The following is a 19,483-nucleotide window of genomic DNA, read 5'->3' on the forward strand; positions in this document are numbered from 1 at the left end:
TTTATGTAAAGTGGACATTTCATTAAAATAAATTCAGAATTAGAGCTAGGTATTGAGTAGACAGGGAGGTATGGATTTTGATAAAAGTTTAGGGATAATAAAGATTAAATTGTACTGTGTTTATAGTGTAGATTTTACTATAAGATTAAATGCCACTACAGCTAACTTTGTCTCTGTTCTGGCTTTCTGATGTCTCCCGTGGGTGCAGCAATGCCGGGTCTACCGTGGGGGTAAGTGGCCTCATGGAGCAGTGGGTGTGCCAGACCAAGAAGGCATCTCAGATGCAGACTTTGTTCTTTACGTTGGTGCTCTGGCCACCGAGAGATGCAGCCATGAAAACATCATCTCTTATGCAGCCTATTGTCAGCAGGAAGCAAACATGGACAGGTAATCTTTCCTCCGGGACTTAGTTTCCAAGATCTAATGTGGGAACTCTTAAAGCAAACTGTATTTTTAGTGTTAAGATTACAGGAATCTTGCATTTGCCAGATTGCCTCTGGTAGACAGGAATAGCATGCTGCCTGGGTTTGGAGTGGGGTTAGGAGACCGTGATTAGACTGTTATTAATGTGATAACCCAAGTTTTTAGTCAAAGTGAAAGAGAGAAAAGTGAAGCACTTCGTTTGACTTTTCTGCCTGCCGTTCCTCTTCCATTTTGATCCTATCGTTTTTGCCTAAATTCCAAAGAAAAAGTCTGCTGTCAAGTGGGCCAAGTGTGGTGGCTCACGCCTGTAATCCTAGCTCTTTGGGAGGCTGAGGTGGGAGGATCACGTCAGCCCAGGAGCTCGAGACCCGCTTGGGCAACATAGTGAGAACTCATCTTGACAAAAAATAAAATTGGCCAGGTGTGGTGGCATGCACCCGTGGTCCCAGCTACTCAGGGGGCTGAGGTGGGAGGATTGCTTGAGCCTGAGAGGTTGAGGCTACAGTGAGCTGTGATCATGCCACTGCACTCCAGCCTGGGCACCAGAGTGAAACCTTGTCCCTCACAAAAAAGAAAAAACAAAATGGCTGGGCGCGGTGGCTCACACCTGTAATCCCAGCTCTTTGTGAGGCTGAGGCGGGTGGATCATGGTGAAACTCTGTCTCTACAAAAAATGCAAAAATTAGCCAGGAGTGGTGGTGTGTGCCGGTAGTCCCAGCTGCTCAGGAGGCTGAGGTGGGAGGATTGCTTAAGCCTGGGAGGTGGAGCTTGCAGAGAGCTGTGATTACACCACTGCACTCCAGCCTGGACCACAGAGCCAGACCCTGTGTCCAAAAAACAACAATAATAATGATAAGTCCACTGTCAAGAGAATTTTCTTTCCAGGTGACTCCTGCTCTAAGGCAACAATTTGAACTTTAATTTTAGGACTTCTGTGCTAAAACTGTGAAGAAAGGTGTTAATAATGACTGTTCATCTAATTGTCATGTAATTTGTTATATGTGATTCACTTAGCTAAACATCACTTAGACATTCAGAGTTCTCTTCATTTACAAAAGATTTCAAACATTTTTCCTGTGAAGCAGCTTAGCTTTGAAATGAAAAGTTATATATGCAGAAGATTGCCTGTCACACACTAGACAAATCAAGTAAAGGCAGTAGAAATTGCCATATGTCTCAGAATAGATTGTATATAACATTCTCAGATCTAGGTGAGATTAGATTTGAGATTAGCGATTAGCTGACTTCAAAGGGAGTCAGCTAGTCTTTTTTTTTTTTTTTGGAGACATAGTCTCGCTCTGTCACCCAGGCTGGAGTGCAGTGGCGTGATCTTGGCCCACTGCAACCTCTGCCTCCCGGGTTCAAGCGATTCTCCTGCCTCAGCTTCCCAAGTAGCTGGAACTACAGGTGTGCGCCACTGCGCCCAACTAATTTTTGTATTTTTAATAGAGACAGGGCTTTCACTATGTTGGCCAGGCTGGTCTTGAACCCCTGACCTCAGGTGATCTGCCTTCCTTGGCCTCCCAGAGTGTTAGGATTACAGGTGTGAGCCACTGTGCCTGGCCTCAGCTCGTGTTTTGACCGATAGATGGATGTTTAACACCTCAGCAGTGGTCCTTTTATGCACAGGAATTAGTTAACTAACTTCTCCTAGATTTGTTAAAAGAAAAAGCAGTTACCTTCTTTTTTTTTTTTTTTTTTTTGAGACGGTGTCTCACTCTGTTGCCCAGGCTGGAGTGCAATGGCATGATCTCGGCTCACTGCAGCCTCGACCTCCTGGGTTCAAGTGATTCTCCTGCCTTAGCCTCCTGAGTAGCGGCGACTACAGGTGCGCACCACCACGCCTGGCTAATTTTTGTATTTTTAGTAGAGACAAGGTTTTGCCATGTTGGTCAGGCTGGTCTTGAACTCCTGACCTCTGGTGATCCACCTGCCTTGGCCTCCCAAAGTGCTGGGATGACAGGCATGAGCCACCACGCCCGGCCTTAAGTTCTTCTTTTTCAAGGAAGTGAAACCTTCCTTCACAATTGCTATATTGCATTAATTCATTTCATGAATATTTGAGCGGCCAACAGATGAGGTAAACAAAGTATAGATGTGTATCTGCCTCATGGAACTTATGAATTGCAGAGGGAGACAGGTATTAAATATTCCTGCAAATAAATATGTGATTTCAAAGTATGATAAATACTTCATAGAAAATAAATAGAATGTTGTAACATAGAGGAGAATAAAAGAGGAAACACCTTGTAGATCAATTGAACAAGGAAGACCTCTTTGAGAAAGTGAAACGTTAGCTGCAACCTGAACATTGATAGGCTGTAGCCAAATAGAGAGATGTGGGGAGAGCTTGTGAAGGCAGAAGCCATGTACACCTGTTGCTTCAGGAGCCCCTCAGTGGACACTGTCGGAGGACAGGTGCTTTGACAGGCAGACAGGATTGTTTTCTTCCAAGTGCTGCAGGAAGCCCCTGAAGAGTTTTAAGCCTGGAAGTGAAATCCATTTTATATTTTAGAGGTCACTGTGGCAATTTTTAAATAAAAGAATTGTATTCATACTTTTTCTAATTCTGTGTCTGTTGCTATTACCTATGAAGAAAATATAAAGTATTTAACAATTTAAATAAGATAAATGTACTTTATAAATAGTCAGTTATACTTTGATGAGGTTTGTGGTGTTTCTATGTAAGATGTTAAGATAGTGGTAGGAGAACTGAGCTTGGGGTTCCTCAGCATTGTTCATTGGCTGCAGCTTTTGAAAGACAGGGAGGCGCATGGTGGAACTGAATTACTCTGGACTCTTGAGTCCTAGTCTGCCTTTGGACTTGCAGGTTCTAGGCACAGAGAGAGATGTAGAAGTGTGTAGATTCTAAAGGGTGTAGAATTTGGAAGAAGATGATGGGATGGTAGAAATATTTATGTGAATGTAGGCAGTGTTGGAGCAGGAGAAAGGGAATAGCAAACAGATAAGAAGGGCCAGCGACTTTCAGCAATCTGAACCACTCATTTATTGCCCCATTTGATAACTGCTTTCCTCTCTACCTGCTTGTCTCTGTGCCCGTAGATATACTGAAATGCTGAAGTTAAATATGGATTTTGCAACTAAAATAGTGTTAGAATTTGAGCCTTTCAGTTCGTTCTTTTTTGGGTATTATATTGATATATTTCAAAAATTCATATTAAAGTATAATCAAGTATGTCCTTTTGTGGAAACAGGGGTTGATTTGCCATGCCATAGGAAAGCAGAGGATACATGTCTTAAAAGTAAGATAGTGATGGTACAAAATTGCATTGGATACTTTGCAAAGATTTTTCTGTCCTTGAGCAGTATTTGATGGAGAAGTAAATGTTAATAAATATTGTTCTGGAATGTAATTTAAAAATTCAATGTCTGTTTTGACAGGCCAATAGCAGGATATGCTAACCTGTGTCCAAATATGATCTCTACCCAGCCTCAGGAGTTTGTTGGGATGCTGTCCACAGTGAAACATGAGGTTATTCATGCCCTGGTAAATTCTAGCCTTACTGTTCTTTCCTTCATGCCTTGATTTTCTGCTTAGTATGTTCTCATTTTTATACATATATTCCACTTTAAGATGATGTGGATTCCTAGACTCATGTTCGTGCACATGTACCCTAAAACTTAAAGTATAATAATAATAATAAAAAATTCAAAAATTAGCGGGGCATGGTGGTGTGCACCTGTCGTACCAGCTACTTGGGAGGCTGAGGTGGGAGGATGGCTTGAGCCCAGGGAGGTTGAGGCTGCAGTGAGCCGAGATTGTGCCACTGCACTCCAGCCTGGTGGTAGAGGCCGACTTTGTATCAAACAAACAAACAGAAAGATTTATAAAGCTTTTTCCTCTTTTAAAATTCTAAGATTGAAAAATGAACAATACTGAAAGGCCTTTGGAAGTATATAGATACGGCAGAGCCCTGGGCTGCTGCTGCTGCTGTTTGTTTGTTTTTTGAGGCCCCATGATGGCCCACTGCAGCCTCAGCCTCCTGGGCTCAAGTGATCCCACCTTAGCCTCCCAAGTAGCTGGGACTACAGACATGTGCCACTACACTTGGCTAATTTTTTTTTTTGATAGAGATAAGGTCTCGCTATGTTGCCCAGGCTGGTCTCAAACTCCTAGGCTCAAGTGATCCTCCTGTCTCAGACTCCTAAAGTGTTGAGATGAGAGGGGTGAGCCACTATATCCAGCCCTCTGCTGCTGCAACCTCCTGGGCTCAAATGATCCTCCCACCTCAACCTCCAGAGTAGCTGGGACCACAGGCACGCACCACCATGCCCTGCTAATTTTTGTATTTTTAGTAGAGATGGGGGTCTCGCCATGTTGCCCAGGCAGGTCTTGAACTCCCGGGCTCAAGTGATCCCCCCCGCCTCAGCCTCCCAAAGTGCTGGGATTACAGGCATGAGCCACCGCGCCCAGCCCTTCTGCTGCCGCTTCTGATAACCATGTGAAAATCCTTATAGGGAGAAAGTAGTAATGACTTGCCACTTCCTCAAATTAAAGGAAAGGAAAGTGTCAGCTAAATATTTTTTTACATGTTTATTTGAACACATACGAATGTTTATCTTCCCAGTAATTTTTAAGTAAATTTATTGTAAGCAAGTGTCAGTCTTGGCCACGTATCTCAGTGTCCAGCTTCCATCTTTTCAGCTCTGGTCCAGCTCTTGTTCAGAAGTGATACCTGATAGCTGATAGCTTCTCAAAAAAGGAAGAAGGGCCGGGCGCGGTGGCTCTCGCCTGTAATCCCAGAACTTTGGGAGGATTCTTCTATATATATAAGAAGGCCAAAATAACTTTAAAACGCAGACAGACTTTCAAAACCATTTCATAATGTACACACACACACACACACACACACACACACACACACAGAGCAAACAGGAATTAAAAACACAACAGCTGGTGTTCTTTATGGTTTTAAAATTCTAGTCGTGCTTGGAAATATAATTATACGACAGTAATTAATGTTTGTAGTATTTCTACTGAATATAAATTTAAAATATATAATACATTTTAGAAAATTTCTCGTTAGAAATATTTACCTCAAGTAATCAGAATTTAAAATTTATAAATATGGAACACTTAATTGTTGTTCAATTCCAGCGTAGGAGAAGTTCCTACAGAAGCACTGGCGTGGTGCTTCTACGTTCCCGTTAGTATCAGTGCTCTCTTTTGATCGCAGGCCTGTAATCAGCCTTGATGTTTTTCACTTGAAGACATTTTGAACTTTTTCTTACAGGGTTTCTCTGCTGGGCTGTTTGCATTCTACCATGATAAAGATGGAAATCCTCTCACTTCAAGATTTGCAGATGGCCTCCCACCTTTTAATTATAGGTATTTTTGTTGTTGTTGCTCTTGTTCTCCTCTTTTAGGAGGGTGCTAAGACTAGAATCTGAGAATCACAGTATATTAGATGCCATAAATAATAATGTCTTCATGGCAAACCTAAGGAAATTGTAGATATTAAAACAAAATGGGATATAAGAGGCCATTTTATGAAAACATAACTTGTGAGATGTAAGTGAGGAGGAGAGAGATACCCACACACAAGAACCATTCTTAAGCTGATAATTTGCAGTGCTTCCTTGCATTGAGGATATTCCTCAAAAGCATCAAACCTTCCGGCCAGGCACAATGGCTCATGCCTGTAATCCTGCACTTTGGGAGGCCAAGGTGGGCTGATTGCTTGAGCCCATGAGTTCAAAACCTGCCGGGCAGCGTGGCAAAACCCTGTCTCTACAAAAAAATACAAAAATTAGCCAGGCATGGTTGCATGCGCCTGTAGTCCCAGCTACTTGGGGTGCTGAGCAGAAGGATCAATTCAGCTCAGGAGGCTGAGGCTACAGTGAGCTGTGATGACGCATCTGCACTCCAGCCTGGGTGACAGAGTGACTGTCTCAAGAAAAAAAAGAGAAGCCTTCCAGTAAAAACGAAGATAATAGAGTAATAAATTCAGTTGTTACAGATATAAAGAATTGGATTTTGCTTTAACTGTATTTGGGGAAACTGTTAATCTTGAAGTATGAATGATAAAGAGAGATTGGAGTGATTAATAAGGTAAAAACTTTATTTTCTGGCTGGCTTTGTTCACTACTTATGTGTAAACGTTGCCTTGCCATGGAAAAACAGGAATTAAAAACAACCTCTCTAAGGCATGGTTAGATGAACAGATAACGTGATAACAAATACAACAAAATGTTAATTACAGAATCTAGGTGAGCTGGTTGATTATAAGGGTGTTTAGTAAACAATTCTTTTAATGTTCTGTATGTTTGAAAATTTTTTTTCTTTTTTTTTTTTTTTGAGACAGTCTCGCTCTGTCGTTCAGGCTGGAGTGCAGTGGTGTGATCTCGGCTCACTGCAAGCTCCGCCTCCAGGGTTCACGCCATTCTCCTGCCTCAGCCTCCCTAGTAGCTGGGACTACAGGCACCTGCAACCATGCCCGGCTAATTTTTGTATTTTTAGTAGAGACGGGGTTTCACCATGTTGGCCAGGCTGGTCTCGAACTCCTGACCTCAGGTGATCTGCCCGCCTCGGCCTCCCAAAGTGTTGGGATTACAGGCATGAGCCACCGCACCCGGCCTATGTTTAATATGTTTGAATTTTTTTTTTTTTTTTTTTGAGACGGAGTCTCGCTCTGTCGCCCAGGCTGGAGTGCAGTGGTGCAATCTCGGCTCAGTGCCAGCTCCGCCTCCTGGGTTCACGCCATTCTTCTGCCTCAGCCTCCCAAGTAGCTGGGACTACAGGCGCCTGCCAACACGCCCGGCTGATTTTTTGTATTTTTAGTAGAGACAGGGTTTCACCATGTTAGCCAGGATGATCTCGATCTGCTGACCTCGTGATCCACCCCTCTCGGCCTCCCAAAGTGCTGGGATTACAGGCGTGAGCCACCGCGCCCGGCCAAAATTTTTACAAAACAGTATTGGAAAAGAAAACCCTCTTTATATTTTCTGTTCTTTTACTGAGAATGAAAGATTTATAGGGAAAATGGTAGAAGTAGTCTAGGGAATAAGCCAGAAAAAAAATGACTTAGGTTACAGGGAAAAATAAAAATTGATATCCATCGTAATTTTCTATAATAGATAAATGTGTTACTTTTGTAGTAGTGCTTTTATTTATGCAGGGTAGATTTCCCAAACTGGGATTGCTGATTTAAAATCTGTTTACACTATAAATTTTAATAGAAACTGCCATGTTACATTTTTTTTAAAAGGTATAGCAAAGCACATTCCCACCAGGTGTGTATGAGTGCTTTTGTTACCACTTTATCAGTATCGGATATTATAGATCTTTTTTATTTTTAAGCCCAATTTGATGGATTAAAAGATGGTATCTCATTGTTGTATTTCCAGGACTATAGTGAGGTTTTAGCCATTTGCATTTTCTCTTTGTACACTGCCTATTTATTTTCCTTGTCCAGTCTTTTAGGTTAATTTTCCCTTTCTAATCACGTTGTAGGAGTTCTTTATAAATTAGAGATATTACTCCTTTTTCATGCTTATTATAAATATTTCTCCTAGTTTATCTTTTTATTTCATTTATCATGCTTTTGCCATGTATAGAAAAGTTTTTAAGTTTTTTATCATTAAATTCATCTATCTTTTTTTTTTTGAGATGGAGTCTCACTATATTGCCCAGGTGGGTCTCGAACTCCTGGGCTCAGGCAAGCTTCCTGCCTCCGTCTCTCAAGCAGCTGGGACTACGGTCACATGCCACTGTACCCCGATGTTTTTTTCTTTGTTGCTTAAGGCCTCAAAAGATTATAAAAATATTCTCCTACATTTATTCTAGTAAATTATTATTCGATTTCTTTACATTTATAGCTTCAATGCATTTGAAATTTTTTTTGATTTATGTATTTTGGGATTCTTTTGTAAGGTGCATATATGTTTATAATTGTTATATCTTTATGCTGGATTTACCCCTTTTTTTTTTTTTTTTTTTTTTTTGAGGCAGGGTCTCACTCTGTTGCCCAGGCTGCAGTGCAGTGGCACAATCATGATCACGGCTTACTGCAGTGTTGATCTTCCCAGGCTCAGGTGATCTTCCCACCTCAGCCTCCTGAGTAGCTGGGACTACAGGAGTGTGCCACCATGCTCATCTAGTTTTTTATTTTTATTTTAAATTTATTTTATTATTTTTTGAGATGGAGTCTCACTCTGTTACCCAGGCTGGAGTGCTGTGGCGCGATCTCGGCTCACTGCAACCTCCATTTCCCAGGTTCAAGTGATTCTCCTGCCTCAGCCTCCCGAGTAGCTGGGATTACAGGCATGTGCCACCACACCTGGCTAATTTTTGTGTTTTTAGTAGAGACGGAATTTCACCATGTTTGCCAGGTTTGGTCTCATACTCCTGACCTCTAGTGATTCGCCCATCTCGGCCTCCCAAAGTGCTGGGATTACAGGTGTGAGCCACTGCACCTGGCCTATGTAGTATATCTTTTTATCCTTTTACTTTCCACCTATTTGTGTTATTTAGTCTAAACTATGTCTCTTGTAGATATATAGTTAGAGCATGTTTTTAAATTCATTTTTCCAATTAACCCTGTTCTGTCTGCTACAGTGTCTGTCAGGTTACTGGTTTTCACCATGATTGTGGGCTGTCGGTTTTCAAGGCTGCCCAAAAGCTGGAGAGAGGGCATGGAAACGCACCACACCGCTCCTGTTTCTACGGAGATTCATCAATTTTTCATGAATAAATGCTTTCTGCATTGCTATAAATCTTTGATTAATTTCCAAAGTTTAAGAAGTTGATTTCACCAAGTTGGGTGGTTTTTTTCATTGCTTTTTTCATAGAGGAGAGAATTTTGAGAGATTTTTACGCTGTCATTTTTGCTTCTGACTTTCTGGAATTTATTTTTGTATGTGGTGAAAAAGGGATTTAACCTTTTTTTTCTAAATGGATAATCAGCACAGTTGTTAGATAAATTCTACTTTCCCACTAAATTAATATGGCATTTTGTTGGTTATGTTTCCTTATATACTTGGATATCTGTGAACTTGCTTTCATTTTATCCTGTACACTTGTCAAAAGGAAGTAATTCATCGTCATCTTAGCCAAGTGCTAGCTATGTGAACTTGAACAAGTTACTTCATCTCCCTGAACTTTTGTCTCTTTATCTGCAAAATAGTGATGATAATCTCATAGGGTTGTTGAAAAGATGAAATTTAAAACACTTATCAGGGCTAGGCCCAGTGGCTCACGCCTGTAATCCCAGAGCTTTGAAAGGCTGAGGTGGAAAGATGGCTTGAGGCCAGGAATTCGAGGCCAGTTTTGGCAAAACATAGCAGATCTTGTCCCAACAAAAAATAAAAAATAAATTGAAAAAAATTTTTCTGGACTGGATTTCATTCTGTCACCCAGGCTGGAGTGCGGCTGTGTGAACATAGCTCACTGCAGCCTTGAACTCCTGGGCTCAAGTGATCCTCTTGCCTCAGCCTCACGAGTAGCTGGGACTACAGGCACACACTACCATGCCTGGCTTATTTTATTTTATTTTATTTTATTTTATTTATTTTGTTTTTGAGACAGGGTTTTGCTCTGTCACCCAGTCTGGAGTGCAGTGGCACGAACATGGCTTACTGCAGCGTCAACCTCCTGGGCTCAAGTGATTCTCCTGCCTCAGCCGCCTGTGTAGCTGGGACCACAGGCCTGCACTACTGCGCCCAGCTAATTTTTAAATTTTTTGTGGAGACAAGGTCTTCCTGTATTGCCTAGGCTGGTATCAAACTCCTGGGCTCAAGCAGTCTTCCCACCTCGGCCTGCTGAGGTGCTGGGATTACAGGTGTGAGCCACTGCACCCAACCAAAAAATTAAATTTAAAAAAATGTAGAAAGGAAAATACTTATCAAGTACTTTGTTTGGACTTGATACATAGGAGGTTCTCAAATATTTTAATTTCATATTGATATTTATAAAGACTTTTTACAGTAAATGTAAATATTTTTATATTTAAAATGGTGAATTTTCAGTAATAATTGTGTTTTAATTCTATAATTACAGTCTGGGATTATATCAATGGAGTGATAAAGTAGTTCGAAAAGTGGAGAGATTATGGGATGTTCGAGATAATAAGATAGTTCGTCACACTGTGTATCTCCTGGTAACGCCTCGTGTTGTTGTAAGTATTATCAGACTTCATGTCTCATGAGCCATCTGTTCTTTTCCTTTACTGTGGTCCTTTCTTTACTCATCATTATTGTTTAAGAACTTATAATTAGAGCCTATAGTAGGAAAAGTCATATAAAGGGAATGCAATGAAGCTACGGGCCACGAGAAATCTGAGGAAATGGAAACTTGGCAATGGCTCTCACAGCTCCTATCCCACCCAGTGCTTTAGGCCAGTGCCTCCTCTGTTGTGATGCCTCTTAGGACCACTGGTACTATTTCTATAATGACTGATCATTTTCTTTGGTGTCTGTATTAGTCAAGGTTCTCCAGAGAAACAGAACCAATAGGATGTGTGTATATATCTATACATCTGTATACACAAAGAAAGAATACGAGAGAGGAGGGGAGGAAGAGATTTCTTTTTTTCTTTTATTTTCTTTCTTTCTTTTTTTTTTTTTTTGATACAGGGTCTCACTCTGTCACCCAGGCTGGAGTGTAGTGTTTTCGGCTCACTGCAACCTCTGTCTCCTGCGCCAAAGTGATCCTCCTACTTCTGCCTCCCGAGTGGCTGAGACTACAGGCACGCACCACCACGCCCAGCTAATTTTGTTTATTTTTTTGTAGTGATGAGGTCTCGCTATGTTGCCCAGGCTGGTCTCGATCTCCTGGGCTCAAGCAGTCCTCCTGCCTCAGCCTCCCAAAGTGCTGGGATTACAGACATGAGTCACCACACTTGGCCAAGAGGTAACTTTTGAGGATTTGGCTCACATGACTGTGGAAGTTGGGCGAGTTCAAATCCGATGGGATAGGCCAGCAGGCTGGAGACTCAGGGGATTGTTGCCCTTGGAGTCCAAAGGCAGAATGACTTCTTATTCAGGGGAGGTCAGTCTTTGTTCTCTTCCGGCCTTCTCCTGATTGGGTGATGCCTACCCACATTATGGAAGGTGATCTTTACTTCAGAGTCCACTCATTGCAATGTTACTCTCATTCCAGAAAACACCTTCACAGAAACATCCAGAATATCTGGGCCAAATATTTGGGTACCATGGCTATTCTCCTTTCCCCTTTTCCTTGACTTTGTACAGCTCTCTGACTTCTAAAGTTCTGCACTGCTCTTGGGCTATTTCCCATCTCTGAAAATCTCTAACTAAAGGACAGATAGAACCCAATGAGCAAGGTTTTATTCTACTGAGCAACTTTTTTTTTTTTTTTTTGAGACAGTTTGCCTCTTGTTGCCCAGGCTGGAGTGCAATGGCACGAGCTCAGCTCAATGTAACCTCTGCCTGCTGGGTTCAAGTGATTCTCCTGCCTCAGCCTCCCAAGTAGCTGGAATTACAGGCTCCCACCACGATGCCTGGCTAATTTTTGTATTTTTAGTAGAGACGGGGGTTTCACCATGTTGGTCAGGGTGAGACCCTGTCTCAAAAAAAAAAAAAAAAAGAAAAAAGGAAATTTCTTCCTCCCCTCATCTCATATTCTTTCTCTGTGTGTACATATATATAGATGTATACACACATCCTATTGGTTCTGTTTCTCCGGAGAACCTTGACTAATACAGACACCAAATGATCAGTCATTATAGAAATAGTACCACGGATCCTGAGGTATCACAACAGAGGGGGCACTGGTGACCTCAGGTGATCCGTGCGCCTTGGCCTCCTGAAGTGCTGGGATTACAGGCGTGAGCCACTGTGTCTGGCCAGAATAGATTTTTTTGGACAGCTAAAAGTGACCAACCTTTAGTTAGACTAAGAAGATGCAAATAACATAAGAAATGAAAGAGGAGACATTACAGCTGATACCACAGAAACACAAAGGATCATGAGAGACTGTTATAAACAATTATATACCAACAAACTGGATAACCTAGAAGAAATGAACAAATTCCTAGACAAATACAACTTATGAAGACTGAATCATGAAGAAATAAAAAATCTGAACAGGTTAATAACGAGTAATGAGATTGAATCAGTAATAAAAGTCTGCCATCAAAGAGAAGCCCAGGACCAGGTTCACTGCTGAATTTCACCAAATGTTTAAAGAAGAACTAATAATCCAGTCCTTCTCAAACTTTTCCAAAAAATTGAAGAGGAGGGATTACTTCCAGACTTTTTTTTTACCAGGGCAGCAATACTCTAATAACAAATTTAGACAAGGCCATAAGAAAAGAAAATTACAGGCTAATATTCTTGGTGAGCATAAGTACAAAAATTTTCCAACAAGATACTAACAAGCTGAATTCTATAACATGTTAAATAGGTCATCCATCATGATCAAGTGAGATTTATCCCCAGGATGCAAGGATGGCTGAACATAGCAAATCAGTAAATGTGATCCATCTCACTGACAGAATGAAGGACAAAAACCATACGATCATCTCAATAGATGCAAAAAAATCATTTAGCAAAATTCAACATCTTTTTATGATAAAAAACTGACCAAATTAGGTACAAAAGGAAGATACCTCAGCACAATAAAGGCCATATAAGAGACACCCACAACCAATCTTATACTCATTAGTGAAAAATGGAAAGCCTTTCCTCCAAGATCTGGAACACTCTTACCACTTGTACATAGTATTGGAAGTCATCGCAAGAGCAGTCAGGCCATAGAAATAAATAAAAGGCATCCAAATAGGACCAGAAGAAGTGAGATAGTTGCTGTTTGCTGATGATCTTATACATAGAAAACCCTAGAGACTCCATCAAAAATTATGAGGATTAATAAATACAGTAAAAGTTGCAGGATACAAAATCAACACACAAAAATTAGTAGTTTTCTATATACTAACAGAAAACTACCTGAAAAAGAAATCAAGAAAACAATCTCTTTTACAATAGCTACCAAAAAAAAAATTCTTAGGAATAAATTTAACCAGGGAAGTAAAAGACCTGTACACTGAAAACTAGGTGAAAGAAATTGACACAATAAATATAAAGGTATCCCGTGTTCATGGAGTAGAAGAATTAGTATTGTTAAAATGTCCATACTACCCAAAACAGTCTACAGATTCAGTGCTATCCCTATCAAAATTCCAATGTCATTTTTCACAGAAGTAGAAAAAAAATCCTCAAGTTCATATGGAACCACAAACACACCAAAAAAAAGAAAAAATAGCCAAAACAATCATGAGCAAAAAGAACAAAGCTGTTCAGGCAGTGTGATGCCTCCAGCTTTGCAGTATTTCAAACTGTACTGCAAAAGCATAGTAATTAAAATGTCATGGTCCTGGCATAAAAATAGGCACATTGATGAATGGAACAGAATAAATTATGATTAATTTATTGACTTGATTATGATTAACCAATTATGGTTAATTGATTTTTAATAAAGGTGCTAAGAATACACAATGGGAAAAAGTCTCTTCAATAAATGGTGTTGGGAGAACTGGATATCCATATGCAGAAGAATGAAATTTGACCCTTATCTCACACCATATATACAAAAACCAACTCCAAACATATTAAGTAAACTTAAGACCAGAAACTGTAAAACTACTAGAAGAAAACATAAGGGGACAACTACATGACATTGGTTTGGGCAATGAGTTTTTGGATTGGACCCTCAAAGTGCAGGCAACAAAAATAAAAACAGACAAATGGGATTACATCAGACGCAGAAGCCTCTGCACAGCAAAGGAAACAAAAGTGTGAAGAGACAGCCTAGAAACAGAGAGAAAATATTTGCAAGCCATACATCAGAAAAGGCGTTAATATCCAAAATATGCAAGAAATGCAAACAGCTGTGTACAAACAGCCCATTTAAAAAAATGGGCCAAGGACCTGAATAGACATTTCTCAAAAGAAGACATGCAAATTGTGAACAGGTACGTGAAAAAATGCTCAACATTACTAATCCTTAGGGAAATGAAAATTAAAAGCACAATGAGATGTCATTTTATGCCTATCAGATGACTGTTAGCAAAAAGACAAAAGAGCTCTCGCTTTGGCAGCACAAAGACTAAAATTGGAATGATACAGAGAAGATTAGCATGGCCCCAGTGCAAGGATGACATGCAAATTCATGAAGCATTCCATATTTTAAAAAGAAAAGAAAAGAAACAAAAGATAAGAAGTGTTGGTGAGGATGTGGAGATAGTATAAATTAGTACAGCCATTATGGAAAACTGGAAGTTCTTCAAAAAACTAAAAATAGAATTACCATATGCTCCAACAATCCTTGTTCCATGTTTACACAACAGATTTGAAATCAGTTTGTCAAAGAGATGTTTGCACTCCTGTGTTGACTGCAGCGCTATTTACAACAGCCACATTACAGAATCAGCCTAAGTGTCCATCAGCAGATGAGTGGGTAAAGAAAGTGTGTTATACACAATTGACCCTTGAACAACATAGGTTGGAACTGCTCAGGTCCACTTATTTGTGGACTTTCTGTCACCTCTGCCACCCCTTAGCAAGACCACCCCCTCCTCTTCCTCCTGCTCAATGTGAAGACAAGGATGAAGACCTTTATGAGGACCCACTTCCACTTGATGAATAGTGAATATCTTTTCTTACTGATGATATTTTTATAACATTTTATTTTCTCTAGCTTCATTGTAAGAATACATCACATAATACATACAATATACAATATATGTGAGAATTGACTGTGCAGTTACTGGTAAGGCTTCTAGTCCATGGTAGGCTATTAATAGTTAAGTTATGGGGAAATCAACAGTTATACACAGATATTGGACTGAACAGGAAGTTGACGCCACTAACACAATGGAATACTATTCAGCCTTAAAAAGGCGGGAAATTTTGTCATTTGTAAGAACATGGGTGAAACTGGAGAACTGATGCTAAAAAAGGAACAGAAAGACAAATACCTAATGTTTTCACATTTCACATGTGACATCTAAAACTATTGAACCCCGAAGCAGAGGGTAGTGGTTATAGAGGCTGGGGTGGGGGGAGATGGTAAGGTGATGGCCAAAGGGTACAAAATCACAGATGGGTGTAACACTTTTTTTTTCTTTTTTTTTGAGATCTATTGCACAGTGTGGTGAATATGGTCAATAGTAGTGTATTGCACAGATTTAAATTACTGAGAGTAAATTTAAAATATTCTCACAAAAAAAGTATTTGAAATGATGGCTATATTAGCTCGATATAATTATTTCACATTGTATTCATAAATCATAACATCACTCTGTACTCCATAAATATATATGGTTATAACTTAAATAAAAAATTTTAAATTGTTATTGACATGAGTTACAACTGTCAATCATCCTAGTCTATAACATTTTTTAGCTATATGTTGCAAAAGTGAAAATCTTCAGAGAGAAGAAAAGATACTAAGTAGTAATTTCCTAGCAAAGAAGAGTGTGACTGCATTAAAATATTTAGTTATATTAAAAACCATATTTTAAAAAGAAATTCTCCTTTCTCAACAAAGTAATTCTTTAATGTTAACTTATTATATTCATGTGATGAAAAGTTTGCTGTTATCTTACGGTACTTTTGTACCATATTTGTTTCTGATTTTTTTTCTGGTTCTTAGGAGGAAGCACGAAAACATTTTGATTGTCCAGTTCTAGAGGGAATGGAACTTGAAAATCAAGGTGGTGTGGGCACTGAGCTCAACCATTGGGAAAAAAGGTTATTAGAGGTCAGTTTGTTTTTAAATTTTCCTAGACTTTATTTAATGAAAATAATTCATAATTATGGTAAAACTTATTCAAGCAGGTTATAAACTGAAAAATGTTTACGTCCCTTTACCCCTTCAGCTCTCCAGATGCACTTTCCAGATACAGTCACTCCTTACTTTTTTTGTATATACTTTCATAAATGTTATATATGTATGTGTGTGCAAACACACGCTGAATTGTCTATTTTTTCATGGGTTCACATATTTATGCAACTTTTTTCACTTTTTCCAAGGCACTATAGGTGCTTCTGCTATAATGCAATGTATGCTTTCCTGAAAAACCTTTTTCTTCACAATTGGACACTAAAAATAACAAGACTTGTGGGAAAAACAAGTAAACAGATCACTAACAGAAACAAATAAGTCATATAGAACTATGAGCTCCGTTTTAAAAAGACATCAGATTTTCAATAAATGAAGTCCTGTATCTACTCTAGTATTTTATTAAAATTTTTATGTTTTTTAGAGACAGGGCCTCACTGTGTCATCCAGGCTGGAGTGCTGCAGCTATTCACATGCATGATCATAGCACACTACAGCCTCGAATTCTTTTGGGCTCAAGCAGTCCTCCTGCCTCAGCCTCCGAAGTAGCTGGGACCACAGGCAAACACCACTGCACCCAGCCTACTCTAGTCTGTGTGTTCGTTCGTTTGTTCGTTCTTTTCTTTTGTTTTTTTTCTTTTCTTTTCTTTTCCTTTCTTTTCTTTTCTTTTCTTTTCTTTCTTTCTTTCCTTCTTTCTTTCTCTCTTTCTTTCCTTTTCTTTTTCCTTTTCCTTTCCTTTTACTTTTCTTTTTCTTTTTCCTTTTCTTTTAACTTTCTTTTCTTTCTTTCTGTCTCACTCCACTTGGTCAGGCTAGAGTACAGTGGCATGATTTCAGTTCACTGCAGCCTCAATCTCCTGGGCTCAAATGCTTCTCTCACCTCAGCCTACTGAGTAGCTAGGAATACAGGCAAGTGCCACCACACCCAGCTAATTTTCTTTTTGTTCTTTCAGTAGAGATGGGTTTCACCATGTTGCCCAGGCTGACCTCAAACTCATGGACTCAAGCAATTCACCCGCCTCAGCCTCCCAAAGTGTGGGGTTACGGGCATGCATTCCGCACCTGGCTACTCTAGCATTTCTTTACCTTCAACATCAGCAGCAATAATAACCCATGGTAGCTGGATGAGGGATTGTAAATCTGAGTATTGAGGACAGGGGTAAAGTGTACATAGACTTGTGAGAACCATACAGTAAACACTTGCACGCAGAGCCGCTGGCTACACCGAGCAGCACATTATGCACTGTACAGCATTTTTGTATTGCTGTGTTTGGCTGTCTTAGTATACTTGGTGTTTAGGCCTCATCACAAAATAGTCACATGCAGGGAAAAATCAATGAACCAACGTGATTCCTTGTTATACTGATGCCATTCCCTTATTTATGAATTTCACATGAGTTCATTCACATCGCAGAAACACATGCTTTCACAGAATAAACTGTATACTTGGATCTACCCATTTTTTTCTATATGAATGTAGCATAACAGTTCTGTGTTAATGAACACAGTTCATGGTTTAAATTTTGTGTTTTAGAAAATGTAATGAGCAACTTATTTATATCTGTGATACCCAGGATGGGGTTTCAGGTGGTGTTTTTAGATTCAACTAAGCAGTCAAACTCACAGGACCTAATCAAGCCATGTTGAGAAAAGATTCCCTTCGAGAAGGATATTAGAAGGAATACACAGCGTGCCAGCGCAGTAGAGCCAGGCATTCCTCTTGGGCTCCACATAGCAGTGGAAGGGCTGTCATCTGTGCCTCTCTCCCTCCCCATGCAGCTCAAGTACCAGAGCACAAGACCACAATAGACAGATGGGAGGACCAGCCTGGCTTAGAAAGATCATGTCCCAAATAGGAACCAGTATCTTTTTATTTTTAGAGATCTGCTTAAATAGATAGTTGCAGCTCATATACATCATGCCTAAAGTTAATACAATTCTGGAAAGAATGAAATTAGTGCTTGTGATTACTGTTCTTGTCTAGGTGACCACAAAGTAACAATGATGGAAACTTACGGAAGGGACGTACATTTATTCCTCCCATGGGAAGTGTGGTTTTTTTTTCCTTAAGAAATTTTCTTAAGTGACTCCCTTTAGAAAGCTGTACATTGGCCAGAAATGAAAATGTTTGTGCTTTTCAGCAGAAGCGCTGACAGTAGTAATTTCATTAACTTCTCTCAAATCAACTTTGTGTCCTTGAACTATTTTTTTTTTAAAGCGTGGTATCACAGTACTTGAGATGGCCATCTGGTGTTCAATGGAAAGATTTAAAGAACACTCAGAACTGTCCAAAGATGAAATAAGCTCTGTAAGAGGCAGTGAAGTCCTCATCATTAGGTGACCTCCTGATAGGAATTGTATGGTGTGAATTAAAATATTGGGTAGATGGTAGAGCATGATGATATTTTAGACCTTTCAAGGAAGTCCTTTTACCCCATGATTCTGTCCCACTTGTTTTGCATGTTACACATGTTTCTGTGATCACAGAGTTGAAGGTGAGGAAAACATTTTCAGTGTAATTCAGACAGCTATTCTCCCTGACCCCAAATTATCTGTGCATTTGCCTCAATCACCCACTTTGCTTTACCTGGAGAGTATAATATTTCTGTAGCATTTCTGTTTCCATATAGATTTATCTTCATTCATCACAGAGTTCTAAATGCCAGCTGCCTGCCATTCCAAGGGAATTGAACACAATGGAAGCACTTAGGGCAGAAAATAGATTTCACTTCAAGGTTCAGTCTAGTCATCTTAAAGGTTTATGTATTTCACCACTTTTAAGTGAATGTCTTGTCAGCCTCTCACAGTTGAAACATTTTAAATATGTATATCAGAGGAATTGCAGAAAATATTAGGAGTTGCAGAGAATCTAGTCTAATTAAACCCTGTTGGTGATTTTCAGAATGAAGCGATGACTGGTTCTCACACTCAGAATCGAGTACTCTCTCGAATCACTCTGGCATTAATGGAGGACACTGGGTAAGACAGCTGTGACAAGAGGATATGAATTGCTTATGAAAATGAAATTAATACTGAGCTTATAGCTTAAGAAAATGCTGACATTTTATGCTGAAGCAAAATATACTTATTAATTATTTGAATCTTGTACAGTTAGCTGTCCGTTATTCATACCAACTCCATTCATTCATTCGTTCATTCAATAAATACTTTTGTTGTTGGTTTTAAAATAGGGTCTCACTCCTTCTGCGCAGGCTGGAGTGCAGTGGCAATCTGGAC

General features: G+C 39.7%; 1 protein-coding gene and 1 pseudogene across 7 annotated transcripts in view, besides 1 other annotated feature; both read left to right on the forward strand.

Annotated features, from left to right (window-relative positions):
* Positions 1 to 19,483, forward strand: part of LMLN (leishmanolysin like peptidase) — an 83,504-nt gene that overhangs the window by 19,901 nt on the left and 44,120 nt on the right. For 5 of the 7 annotated variants that reach the window (XR_007095764.1, NR_026786.2, NR_026787.2 and 2 more), the window contains exons 6-11: positions 209 to 387; positions 3,826 to 3,931; positions 5,679 to 5,773; positions 10,442 to 10,559; positions 16,058 to 16,165; positions 19,149 to 19,225. Coding sequence is in view for 4 of the 7 variants with exons in the window: in NM_001136049.3 (NP_001129521.3) it covers positions 209 to 387; positions 3,826 to 3,931; positions 5,679 to 5,773; positions 10,442 to 10,559; positions 16,058 to 16,165; positions 19,149 to 19,225 (683 nt within the window). In the remaining 3 variants the exon portion in view is untranslated. The remainder of the gene's footprint in view (positions 1 to 208; positions 388 to 3,825; positions 3,932 to 5,678; positions 5,774 to 10,441; positions 10,560 to 16,057; positions 16,166 to 19,148; positions 19,226 to 19,483) is intronic. The other 2 variants (XM_047449155.1, XM_047449156.1) reach the window with 1 other exon arrangement.
* Positions 4,948 to 5,148: a silencer, noted in NCBI's record as "peak4999 fragment used in MPRA reporter construct". NCBI's record gives its function as "represses an SCP1 promoter by STARR-seq MPRAs in K562 erythroleukemia cells {active_cell/tissue: K562}" and the evidence as "EXISTENCE:reporter gene assay evidence [ECO:0000049][PMID:32103011]".
* Positions 14,484 to 14,592, forward strand: RNU6-621P (RNA, U6 small nuclear 621, pseudogene; annotated as a pseudogene).

The sequence above is a fragment of the Homo sapiens genome, chromosome 3 (genome assembly GCF_000001405.40).
Source record: "Homo sapiens chromosome 3, GRCh38.p14 Primary Assembly".
NCBI lineage: Eukaryota > Metazoa > Chordata > Mammalia > Primates > Hominidae > Homo > Homo sapiens.